At 34.5% G+C, this 13,866-nt stretch overlaps 1 protein-coding gene across 12 annotated transcripts in view; it reads left to right on the top strand.

The window, feature by feature from the left end:
* PLSCR4 (phospholipid scramblase 4) overlaps positions 1–13,866 on the top strand; it is a 58,771-nt gene that overhangs the window by 38,462 nt on the left and 6,443 nt on the right. For 7 of the 12 annotated variants that reach the window (NM_020353.3, XM_005247655.3, XM_005247654.3 and 4 more), the window contains 3 exons: positions 5,883–6,118; positions 11,567–11,609; positions 12,605–12,831. In NM_020353.3, coding sequence (NP_065086.2) covers positions 5,883–6,118; positions 11,567–11,609; positions 12,605–12,831 — 506 coding nt within the window. The remainder of the gene's footprint in view (positions 1–5,882; positions 6,119–11,566; positions 11,610–12,604; positions 12,832–13,866) is intronic. The other 5 variants (NM_001177304.2, NM_001128306.2, XM_017006921.2 and 2 more) reach the window with 1 other exon arrangement.

Here is a 13,866-nt window from a genome sequence, read left to right as displayed (position 1 = left end):
CCTATATATGTAAAAAGTCTAAGCTGGGTGCAGTGGTACACTCCTGTACTCCTGTAGTCCCAGTTACCTGGAGGCTAGGGTAGAAGGATCAATTGAGTCCAGGGATTTGAGACTGCAGTGAACTATGATCATACTACTGCACTTCAGCCTGGGTGACAGACTGAGACCCTGTCTAAAAAAAAAAAAACCCAAAAAACAAAAAAAAACAAAACAAAAAAACCCATATATACCCACAAACAGCACAATAAACAAGTTCAGCAGTGTGTTAGGATATAAGATCATAATACAGAAATCCAAAAGTATTTCTATATATTAACAATGAAAAATGTAAAAAGAAATTAAAATTATAATTCCACATACAATAACATTAAAAATAACATACCCAGAAGTAACTTTAATAAAAGGAGTAAAATATCTTTCATATTGAAAACTATAAAACGTTGAAAGAAATTAAAGAAGACTACGTAAGTGGAAAGGCATTTTACAGATTTGAAAAGTAAATATTGTTAAATGGAAATGCTCCTTAAATTGATCTACAGATTCAACACAATTCTTATCACAGTGGAATTTTTAAATTGACAGGCTATTCCTCAAATACATATGGAAATGTAAAGGATTCAGAATAGCCTAAACAATCTTGAAAAAAAATTGGAGGACTCACAATTCCCAATTTCCAATTTACTATAAAGCTACAGAAGTCAATACCACAGTACTAGCATAAAGATAGACATATAGACCAATGAGATAGAATTGAGAGTCTAAGAAATAAACCCAAACATCTGTAGCCAACTGATTTTTTACAAGCATGTCAAAATAATTCAATAGGGAAAGAATACTCTTTTCAACAAAGGATCTGAGACAAATGAATATCAACATACAAAAGAATGATTTGAAACTGTCTCACCCTAAACACAAAAACTCTAAATGAATCAAAGATCTATGTGTTTGAAAGACCTATGTCTAAGAGTGAAAACTATAAAACTTTTACAAGATATAGATGTAAGTATTTATGTCCTTGGATTAGGCAATAGTTTCTTAGATATGATATGACACTCTAAAGCACAAACAACCAACAAAAAATAAATTGGACTTCATAACAATTAAAAAGTTTTGTATATCTAAGGACACTATCAAAGAGAAAAGACAACCTACACAATGAGAGAAAACACTTGCAAACTATCTGGCAAGAGACTTTTATCTTGAATATATAAAGAACATTTATAATGCAACAATAAAAAGACAAATGATTCAGTTTTAAAGTAGGCAAAAGATTTAATAGATAGTTCTCCAAAGGAGATATACAAATGGCCAATAAGCACATGAAAAGATGCTGAACATCATTAGTAATCAGAAAAATGCAAATAAAAATCACAATAAGATACAACTTCATACCCACTAAGATGACTAAAATAAAAACAGACAATAACAAGTATTGGTGGAGGATGTGGAGAAAGTAGAACTCTCATATTTGCAAGTGGACATGAAATTGTAAAGCCACTTTGGAAAACAGTTTGGCAGTTAATAATGGAGTTACTAAATATTTCAGCTAATTTCACTCATAGCTAGAGAACTGAAAACATGTCCACACTAAAACTTGTACATGGAGGATCACAGCAGTGTTATTTATAATAGCCCAGAGTGAAAGCAACCTAAATGTCCATTGACTGATTAAACAATACCTAAAATGTGATATATCCACACAATAGAATACTACTCAGCCATAAAATGGAATTAAGTACTTATATGTGCTACAACATGGATGAACCTTGAAAACATGCCAAGTGTAAAAAAAAAAACAGACATAAAGGCCTATTGTATGTTTTCATTTACATGAAAAGTGTAGATTAGGCAAATCCACAGATAGTAGTGGTTTTCAGGGACTGTGGGGAAGAGGAGATGGAAATTGCTGCTAATGGGTATGGGTGTTCTTTCTGGTATGATGAAAATTCTGGGTTTAGGTAGCAGTGATGGTTGCACAACTTTGAGAATATACTTAAAACCACTACATTGTACATTTTAAAAAAGGATCAATGAAATAAAATGTTTTGTTAATCTCAAGTTTTGCCATAGAGATCCTGTTGCAATAGATTGGAATGAGGCTCAGAATCTGGAATTTTACTAAGAACTCCAGATTATCTTGAAGGACTTGGTATATTGAGCCACAATTTAAGAAACAATATGTTGAGGTGATTTTTTTCTCTAAATTTAAACATCTGCCTTTGAAAATCTGAAAAATCTAGTTCCATTTTTAAAAATTGCCTTCATGTCTTGTCACTAAGGCTTCAGATTTTACAGTTCAAGTCTTAGCTGGTATTCCCTGCTCATAAAAAGTTGTTTTTATTTAATTTAAACTAAAATAGATCCACAGTTGGACCCCTATATTTGTGAATTCTTCATCCATGGATTCAAAAAAGTGTGGATTAAAAATATTTTAAAAGCACAATTAAAAATGACAATAAAAATTATACAATAAAAATAACACAAAAACAATTTATATTAGCATTTACATTGTGTTAGCTATTGTAAGTAATCTAGACATCATTTAAAGTATATGGGAGGCTGTGAGTAGGTTACATGTAAATACTACACCATTTTATATAAGGGACTTAAGCATTTGTAGGTTTTGGTATTTGAGGGAGTCCTGGAACCAATCCTTTATGAATATCAAGGGACGACTATACTGAAATCTTAACATAAAATATCTTGACTTACATAACTTATTTTGTTTTCAACCACAGGACATTATTCCTTAAATTCTCTCTTAAAGGAGAAAAACCTTTCTTTATCTGAGCCTGGCCTTCCTGACAGTTCAGACAACATCACTTGTGGGCTGCTTGTGGCTCTACTACTCACAGGATTTCAGTTAGAGCTACAAGACCTTAGCAATAAGTTAGGGTCTGTTGCATATTTCTGGGTAGACAACCAAGACCCAGTTATTTATAAATTTTAATTAATTAATCTTAAAAACTTGGAAAGTGAAACAAAAATAAATTAGTAATGATCAAAGTTATTCAAAAAATTCCTGGTAACCAGACCTAGATAGATATGCAGTAATGGCATTCTCATACTTATTGTTGGCAATTCTTTGACTTTAAAAAAACATAGTGAAATGCAAAGTTACCACTGCTTATCTTAAGAGACCTTGATAAAAAAATTCCTAAAGTCAAACATTAGCTGTTGTGTGCTTATTCATTTTTATGAGTACTCTTTTTAAAAAATATTTTATTTCCATAGGATTTTGGGGAACAGGTGGTATTTGGTTATATGAGTAAGTTCTTTAGTGGTGATATTTTGTGAGATTCTAGTGCACCCACCACCCAAGCAGTATACACTGAACCCAATTTGTAGCCTTTTATCCCTCACCCCCTTCCCATCATTACCCCTGAGCCCCCAAAGTCCATTCCATTGTATCATTTCTATGCCTTTGCATCCTCATAGCTTAGCTCCCACTTACGTGTGAGAACATACAATATTTGGTTTTCCATTCCTGAATTACTTTCCTTAGAATAATAGTCTCCAATCGCATCCAGGTTGCTGTGAATGCCATTAATTCATTCCTTTTTATGGCTGAGTAGTATTCCATCATATATATATGTAATCCCACATTTTTCTTTATCCACTCGTAGATTGATGGGCATTTGGGCTAGTTCCGTATTATAGCAGTGAATTGCGCTGCTATAAACATGCATATGCAAGTATCTTTTTTTGACTTCTTTTCCCCTGGATAAATACCCCAGTAGTGGGATTGCTGGATCAAATGGTAGTTCTACTTTTAGTTCTTTAAGGAATCTCCACACTGTTTTCCATAGTGGCTATACTAGTTTACATTCCCACCAGCAGTGTAGAAGTGTTCCCTGTTCTCCGTACATGTCAACATCTGTTATTTTTTGAGTTTTTGATTATGGCCATTCTTGCAGGAATAAGGGGTTATTACATTGTGGTTTTGATTTACATTTCCCTGATCATTAGTGATGCTGAGTATTTTTTCATACAATTGTTGGCCATTTGTGTATCTTCTTTTGAGAATTGTCTATTCATGTCCTTATCCCACTTTTTGATGGGATTGTTTGTATTTTCTTGCTAATTTGTTTGAGTTCGTTACAGATTCTGGATATTAGTCCTTTGTCAGATGTATAGATTGTGTTTGGGTTGTCTGTTTACTCTGCTGACTGTTGTTTTTGCTGTGCAAAAGCTCTTTAGTTTAATTAAGTCCCACCTACTTATCATTGCTTTTGTTGCATTTGCTTTTGGGTTTTTGGTCATGAAGTCTTTGCCTAAGCCAATATCTAGAAGGGTTTTTCTGATATTATCTTCTAGAATTTTTATAGTTTCAGGTCTTAGATTTAAGTGCTTGATCCATCTTGCGTTGATTTTTATATAAGGTGAGAGATGAGCATCCAGTTTCATTCTCATACATGTGGCTAGCCAATTATCCCAGTACCATTTGTTGAATAGGGTGTCCTTTCCCCACTTTGTGTTTTGTTTGCTTTGTCAAAGATCAGTTGGCTGTATTTGGGTTTATTTTTGGGTTCCCTATTCTGTTCCATTGGTCTATGTGCCTATTTTTATACCAGTACCATCTTGTTTTGGTGACTATGTCCTTATAGTATCATTTGAAATCAAGTAATGTGATGCCTCCAGATTTGTTCTTTTCACTTACTTAGTTTTGCTTTGGCTATGCAGGCTCTTTTTTGGTTGCATATGAATTTTAGGATTGTTTTTTCTAGTTCTGTGAAGAACGGTGATAGTATTTTGATGGGAATTGCATTGAATATGTAGACTGTGCTCTTAAAGCATGATAAAATCTTGTATCCATTTAAGGAAATCTAGGTTCCTTGATGGACTTATAATGACAAAGATAATTCATCAGATCTCTGATTGAAGGTGGAATGGGGAGAAATGATAGAGGGATAAGTGCTGTGGGCTGAATGTTTATATCCCTCCCAAATTCACATATTGAAGTCCCATTTCCCAATGTGATGTTACTTGGAAGTGGGGCCTTTCAGAGAAAATTAAATCAAAAGAGTGGAGCCCTCATGATGGCACTCATACCCTATAAGAGGAGACATGAGAGGGATTCTGTCTTTCTGTCTCTCTCTCTCCCCCTTCACTCTGTGAGCATATAGCAAGAAGGTGAACATCTGCAAACCAGGAAAGGCTCTCACCAGGTTTGACCATGCTAACATTTATCTTTGAACTTCCCAGCCTCCAGAACTATAAGAAAGAAATGCTTGTTGTTTAAGCCACTCAGTTTGTGCTTATTTTGTTATAGCAGCATAACTACTAAGAAAATAACTTTAAGAAATTGAATCTAAAAGAGGTCAGGATTGGGGACCAGTCTGAGAACTCGATGATGAAGATATGTACAAGCGATTGGGTCAAGGCAACCTAAAATATTCATTAAAAGCACTCCTTTGAAATGAAGTAGACATTATTTATGTAACCACAAACAATAACAATAGACATAATAACAAAAATTTGCAGGAGTAATTATATGTTAGTAATTATACGTTAGTAATTAATACGTTAGTAATTAATCCCACTACAACCTCATTAGGTAAGTTTATTATCTCCAAGGAGGAACCTAATTTATTAAGAAGCTAACATGTTTCTTCTAATGTTTCAAAACTTATTTTTGTACCATTGAAATGGGAATAATTATCTTATAAGCTTTAAGAGGATTAAATGAATTAATATGTAAATAAGTCTCCCTAATACATCGTTGGGTCATATGCAACCATGATCTGCATAAAGTGTGAATCAAAAATGGAACAAGTTGTTATATTTAAGTGGATGTCGTGTGATCTATTTCATCGCATGTAAAAAGTTATGCTAACTTTAGTGTTAATAATATATAACACTTTGATTTCTTTTGAACACAGGACCCCCTGGAACAGCTGTCCCTCCACCTACTGGCTACCCAGGAGGCTTGCCTATGGGATACTACAGTCCACAGCAACCCAGTACCTTCCCTTTGTACCAGCCAGTTGGTGGTATCCATCCTGTCCGGTATCAGCCTGGCAAATATCCTATGCCAAATCAGTCTGTTCCAATAACATGGATGCCAGGGCCAACTCCTATGGCAAACTGCCCTCCTGGTCTGGAATACTTAGTTCAGGTACTCCATGAAAATACAAATTATTTTCTTATGAAATGTGACCATAGGGATCCAACAAAGAGAGAAAAAAAGCAGACCAGAGTGAATAAAGGAGATGGGTCAGTGATGACAGATGCCATTTGTGAAACTATAAGAACAGTGATACCAGTTTCAGAAATATGAAGGGGAAACAGCAAGTACAAGGATGTTTATAGTGGGATGAGTATGTTTTTCATAAGGATTTATGTTGAACTTCAAGGCATTCAAGATGTTTTCTTGAAAGAATTGTACAAATGGAAATAGAAAAACTATCATAGAGGATAGTTGTGTTATTTGCTTAGAAGTAAACAGTTAACATCAAAAAAAGCACAAAAGAGAACAAAACACAATACAGTGGGTAAATTACTGAGTGCCTTAGCCCATTGCTTTTTACCACCACCCATCATTTTCATTAGCTACTCTTGTCACCCCCAAAAACAAACAATATAAATAAAAATAATGGACCCTACAAAGAATATTGCTTCAGGCCAAGTTCCAGAGACCCCCTTCATACAACACAATAACTCCCTAATTAACATCTATGTAGATATTCTGCTGCCACCAGGACATGCAGATCAAAAACTGGGGTAATATGGGAAGTTTGTGCACAAATAGTTTTGTTTAAAAACCCATGTCTGAAACTAAAAAACCTGCTTAATGAAAATAAGATAAAGCTGGCAGAGTAGACGCCTTTTATTTGTGGCGTTGATTCCTGCGGTTTCAGTTACCAATGGTCAACCAGGTTCCAAAAATATTAAATGGAAAATTCTAGAAATAAACCATTCATAAATTTTAAATTTATTCTGAGTAGCATGATGAAATCTTGCACAGTCCTGCTGTGTTCTGCCTGGCACATATATCATTCCTTTGTCCAGTGTATCCACGCTGTAGATGTTATCCATAGTATACAGACCCAGAGTCACATCTTGGTTATCAGATTGACTTACAGTATCACAGTGCTTGCATTGAAGTAACTTATTTTACTTAATTATGTCTCCAAAGCACAAGAGTAGTAATGCTGGGAATTTGGATATGTCAAGGAAAGACCAAAGAGAGGCCATAAGGTCTTCCTTTCCATGTAAAGGTGAAGGTTTTTTACTTAATAATAAAAAAATTCCTATGCTAAGGTTACTAAGATCTATAGTAAAATTAATATGTCCATGAAATTGTAAAGAAGAAAAGAAAAATTTGTGCATAGTATATACAGGATTTGGTACAATCTGTGGTTTCAGGTATCCACTGAGGGCTTGGAAAGTATCCCCTGAGGATAAGAGGGAGACTACTTTATTGGAGATTCCATAGAACCTTCTGAATCTTTTTTGTTGTTGTTTATAGAAAAAGGAAGTGCTGAAATACATTATAAAGAAGAAACTTCCCAATTTAATACTTACCTCCCCAGGTCAACAGCCAAGTATTTCCTCGAGTTCTGTCATTTCTCTTTTCAATTCTGTATATTGACAGGGACCCTGATAATCTTGTGTGCTGAAAACTATTTGTATAATATTATAACATTGGTGTATAGAAGTCAATACAGTTGGATCAGGAAAATTTGGATTTTACAAAAGCCAAAATTTATCCTAAATTATTATTTGGACAAAATTTTGACAAAATGCAAAACTCATTCAGGTGAAGTGCTAGAGTAAACATCTACATTATTTCAGAAGATAATAAAATGTTTGTAGCTTATCAAGTTTAGAAAGTCTCATTTCTATACTTGGTGATAAATACAGAAGTTGTTCTTGGGAATCTAACATCTTCTACAGTCAATTCTCTTTTCAAATTGTATAGCTTTGTTTATTTAAATATTAAAAACTTGTTTCTTAATTTCTTTTATGATTCTGACAGAGGTTAATTTAACGTATTTTATGAGTTTTCCCTTTTAGGAATATTTAGAGTTAAAGAAATAAGTGAAAAAATAAACAAAACACAGGTTTGGACCCAGGCAAACCTGGTTTTTTAATTCTGTCCTACTCTCTAGTAACTCAAAAACTTTGATAAAATTTCTAACCTCTTGCTGCTTGAATTTTATCATCTATAAAATAGTATTATCAATACCTACCTTACCAGATTGTTAGGAGAATTTTTAATGAGATAAGGGTCACAATGTGCCTAATATTTTTGACATAAAGGGCCGTCCCAATGGATGAAAGCTATGTGGCTGTTATTAGCTTAAATACCTTCTTATGTGTGAATGCAAGACATAGAGCCAATCTTTTTCCTCTATCTACCCTAGTCTTTTTGAGATCTCACATGAAGATTACATGAATCTTTATCAAGGTTCCCAAGAATCCTAAAACATCCAAATTAGCACGATTATATTATTTTCAGAGTCTTGGCTTTACCAGTGACTTTACCAATTTGTCAAAGAACTACCCCTTAACAGACACATATTATTGAGTTCCAGGAAGGGACACAATAATATTGAAATTAGGCCAGTTAATAATCCTGTGATGGCCTCTGAGTGTTCAAGTGAAAGAAACAATTGCACATCTCTCACTGTAAATAAGAAAGCTGGAAATGATTTAGCTTAATGAGGAAGGCATGTTGAAAGTTGAGATAGGCCAAAAGCTAGTCTTCTAGCACCAGTTAGCCAAGCTGTGAATGCAAAGGAAAAGTTCTTGAAGGAAATTGAAAGTGATATTACTCCAATGAACATATGAATGGTGAAAAGTAAAAGAGCCTAATTGCTGATATGGAGAAAGTTTTAGTGGTCTAGAAAGAAGATCAAACCAGTCACAACATTTCCTTAAGCCAAAGCATAATTCAGAGCAAAGCCCTATCTCTCCTAAATTCTATGTAGGCTGAGAAAGGTGAGGAAGCTACAGAAAAAAAAAGTTTGAAGCTGGCAGAGGTTGGCTCACAAGGCTTAAGGGGGGAAAAAAGGCACTTTTGTAACATAGAAGTGCAAGGTGAAGCAGCAAGTCCTGATGTAGAAGCTGCAGTAAGTTTTTCAGAAGATCCTAACTATAACAAGATCATTGATGAAGGTGACTCTGCTAAACAACAGATTTTGAATATAGATGCAACAGCCTTCTGTTGGAAGAAGATGCCTTCTAGGACTTTCATAGCTAAAAAGTAGAAGTCAACGCCTGACGTGAAAACTTCAAAGGACAGACTGACTTCCCTGTTAGGGTCTCTTGCAAAACATTACTACTCACTGACAACACATCTGGTCACCCAAGAGCTCTGATGGAGACGTATAAGGAGATTAATGTTGTTTTAATGCCTGCTAACACAACATCCATTCTGCAGCCCATGGGTCAAAGTATAATTTCAATTTACAAGTCTTATTGTTAAAAAAATGAATTTCGTTAGGCTATAGTTGCCATAGATGGTGTCATTTCTCAGACAGATCTGGGCAAAATAAATTGAAAACCATGTGGAAAGGATTCACCATTCTAGATGCCAATAAGGACATTCATGATTCATGGGAAGAGGTCAAAATATCAGCATTAACAGGTGTTTGGGAGAAGCTGATTGCCACTTTTATGATGATTTTGAAGGGTTCAAGATTTCAGTGGAGGAAGTAATTTCAGATATGATGGAAACAGCAAGAGAACTAGAATTTGAAGTGGAACCTGCAGATGTGACTGAATTACTGTAACTCATGATACAACTTTAACAGATGAGCACTTGCTTCTTATGTATAAGCAAAGAAAGTGCTTCCTTGAGATGAAATTTACTCCTGGTGAGAATTCTGTGAACATTGTTGAAATGACAAAGGTTTTAGAATACTACACAAATATAATTGATAAAGCAGTGGCAGTTTTTAGGTGGATTGACTCCAATTTTGAAGGAAGTTCTACTGTGGTAAAGTACTAAAAAGAACATCATGTGCTACAAGGAAATCTTTCATGCAGAGAAGAGTCAGTCAATTGATATGGCAAACTTCATTATCTTTTGTTAAGAAATTGCTGCCGCCAACCTGGGCTTCAGCAATCACCACCCTGACCATTTAGCAATCATTAACATAGAGACAAGACCCTCTACCAGCAAGAGGATTGTGACTAGCTGAAGTCTCAGATGATTGTTAGCAGTTTTTAGCAATAAAGTTTTTTAAAATTAAGATATATACTTCTTTTAGATTAATACTCTTACACACACTGTAGACTACATTATAGTGTAAACATAATTTTAGATTCAATAAGAAAATAAAACATTCATGTCACTCACTTTCTTACAATAATTGCTTTATTGCCTTGGTCTGGAACCAAACTTGTAGTATCTTCAGAGTATGCCTGTAGTTTATATTTTTACTTTTCACTTCTAGATTTTAATACCCTACTTTTCTAAAATGGACTATAAACCATTTTAGTAGTCACTTTTGGTATTTTATGAGGCATATTTATGTCTCCTTATGTCATTGTGTTTTTATGTAAGAAAAAGGTTTTAATTAAGCATAGATTGTGCCCTTTGTACCCTCCTGTAATTAATCACACCATAAAACATTCGTGTTTAGGTACATTATTTTAATTTCATGTATTACTGCATTCATATATTCTTCATTAATTAATGTACTTAACCAATGTTTGGTGAAATATGGCACTTCAGGCAGTGTTCTGGGCTCAGGGATTAGGAATGGTCTAATGGTCTAAATGATGTAAAATTATACAAATATAATCAGTGTGTCCTCAAGAAGGTTTCTTTTCTTCTGCTAGAATGTTCTCACATGTAACAGATAATGTGCCCATCAAACTGCTCATCTTTAGAATGATTCCTAAGATAGAAATTTCTCTAATGGTATATACCCAGCCGTCCTTTTCATGGGTTGCCATCTAACAATGTTTCCTTTCTCTTCCCCTAATCCTGTTCACATGCTTCCTAGTGTAATAGACCCTTCCCTTATTAAAGTGTGCACTTGGGGAAGACCCTGGCCTTTGTAGATCAAGTGAATGCAAGTCAGTTTATAAACCTCTGCTGGAGGTACCTGTAAAATAATATAAAATGGGGACACTCCATGTGAGGTTCACCCTGGCTTGTTTGTTCTCCTTAAGCCACTGAGAGACTTCCCTTTTCTATGGCTGGTCCGTGTTAATCGTTCTGAACTTAACTAAACAACTACAGGCTATGGATGACATGTAGAGAGACCAGTGAGTAGGGACTTATCTAGGAACAATCTATAAGCACAGCTTCTTCTGATGTGATTACTACAGCAAGTAGATGTTTTGTTTTTCTGATATAGCAGACAACTTTTTTAAAGTGGTACTGAAAGAAAGTGTTTTTCTAATATGGACAACTCTGCTAATATCCATCCGATCAGATGCAGATAAGCTAATTTCAGTTGGTAAAATTTTTTTGATTCTATTGACTTTCAAAAATATATTTTGGTATCAATTGATGCATTTTAATATCTATTTCATCAGTTTATTTTACAGTGGTATTTTAGTTCTGTTATTTCTGTCTTCTGATTGCTTTGTTTTATCCCAACAGTTGGACAACATACATGTTCTTCAGCATTTTGAGCCTCTGGAAAGTATGTATAATTTTTGTAGTGCTCAGCAGTATTTTAATCAGATGGAAATTTGCATTATCCAATATCTAGTTCCTTCTTTATATTGATCATGTTTTAGTGGCTCAAAGAAAAAAAAACTGCTCTATTACCCTATCTTCAAGAAAGTAATAAAGTGAATTATTTTGTATAATTTTATCCTTCTATACATCATATAATCATAAGCTCTTAGATTTGAAAAGGGCTTACATTTTATCTGGTCAATAGCCCTACACTTTACCCATTGTTCCTACTCCACATTTACCTTTCAAAGATGAGTAAAAAAAGGAGCCAAGAGACTAAATGAGTTAGCCAGGGACACCACAGTCAGCTAATCACCTCCAGATCAGGAAATAGCATTTAAACCACAGTCAGCTAATCAGTGGCAGAGCTGGAAATAGAATCCAAATCTGCCAAATCGTAGTGCAGTGCCCTCGCTTTGGAAGTAAGAAGAAAAGATCTCAGTCAAAATGATGCCTGTTCTCAGTTCATCCTACAAGAGTACTGACCCTCACTAAACCAGCTGTGCACATTCATTTGGCCACCACATAGGGCCTTTGACTTTTCTTGGTTTGTTCTCTTGTTTGTAATTAGTAATGACCCTACTCCTCCAAGCATGTTTCGTGAACTGATTAATTAATGGTCAAATGTATAATTTTTTTAAATGGTTTTATAATTAAAGTTTTCTGAATTCAGATACTCCAGGAATTGAAACAAAAGGGTTGTTTCAATCTTTTCTTTTATGTAAAATTTTTTTAATGTTTACACTGAACTTCTTAAAAGAAATGTTTTAAATTTTCACAATTGCTTAAATACTTTTAGATAATATGATTTTTGGGGTACTCTAATCAATTCTACATATTTCACCTGAAACTTTAAAAAAGCTATGTTGCTTTAAGCCCTTAAGAAATACTAAACAAGGACTTTCTGAGGCCCATTTTAAATGTTTCTAATATAGACTTACTCATTTTATTTTTTAGTGATGACATGTTTTGAAACTAATAATAGATATGATATTAAAAACAACTCAGACCAGATGGTTTACATTGTAACCGAAGACACAGATGACTTTACCAGGAATGCCTATCGGACACTAAGGCCCTTCGTCCTCCGGGTCACTGATTGTATGGGCCGAGAAATCATGACAATGCAGAGACCCTTCAGATGCACCTGCTGTTGCTTCTGTTGCCCCTCTGCCAGACAAGAGGTCAGAGAATGGAAGTCTGATCCACAGCTTGCTTCTGATCTAACTCTTCATGGCATAGTGTGCTCCTTCCACTACATAGGGAGGATATTCCCTGGCCCTGCCAGCCAGAATGGAAGAAGATAGTGGGGAGGGAGGAAACCAAATTGTCTCGCCTAAGGAAAATCATAGAGGATTTTTTCTTTTTGGTTACTACTTTTTAGTGCTTAAATAAGTGGGTCAAGCACAATTGACATATGTGTAGTCAATAATTATGATTCCATCAGTTGCATCTACTTAATTAGAAATTTACCTACCACATTTATCTAAATGTACGTACCTATCACTAGATAAAGCAATGCTAAAGATAAACATATGCTTTTAGAATTGGAAGGGACTTAAATATGTTTAGAGTACCCATCACAACGCATACCTTGCCACAGATAAAGAGTGGCTCAAAATTACTAAATGGCTGAGGTGTTACATTTGGCTAAGGACAGGGCTGGAACTAGAATACAGATGTGCTGAGTTACAGTGTGGTTACTCATTATCTTGCATTTCTAAGCAAGTTATTTTCTGTAGGGAAAAGAGAAGCGGTTTTGGAGAGAAACCAAACAGAGTCTGAATTCTAGATATGTCACCTACTTAAATCTGTAAAATTTAATTAACCTGTTTGAGCCTTAGTGTTCTTATACATAAACTGGGTAGTATAATACATCATAGGATTACTGAAATACTTAAATGATCTGTTAAATAACATCCTTTACTAAATATTAATTTTTTACAACCGTCTCCAGGCCTTATTTACCTGTAAAATGGAAATATTAATAGTACCTATCGGATAGGATGATCATTTTAGGGATTAAGTCAATTCTTCTGCACAGTTCCTAGCAAATAGTATAGTACTCAATGAATATTTTCTCTTTTCAGAAATCTTACTCCTTTGTTATTATTGTCTTTGTGATAACAGCCTTATATGTGAAGTGAATACCTATTATCCTTGATCCTTTTGGATATAGTAGGCATTTATCTTCATATTTATGAGTTAGATTTTTTTTT

Source organism: Homo sapiens, chromosome 3 (genome assembly GCF_000001405.40).
Source record: "Homo sapiens chromosome 3, GRCh38.p14 Primary Assembly".
NCBI lineage: Eukaryota > Metazoa > Chordata > Mammalia > Primates > Hominidae > Homo > Homo sapiens.
This window is presented reverse-complemented; position numbering and strand designations above follow the sequence as displayed.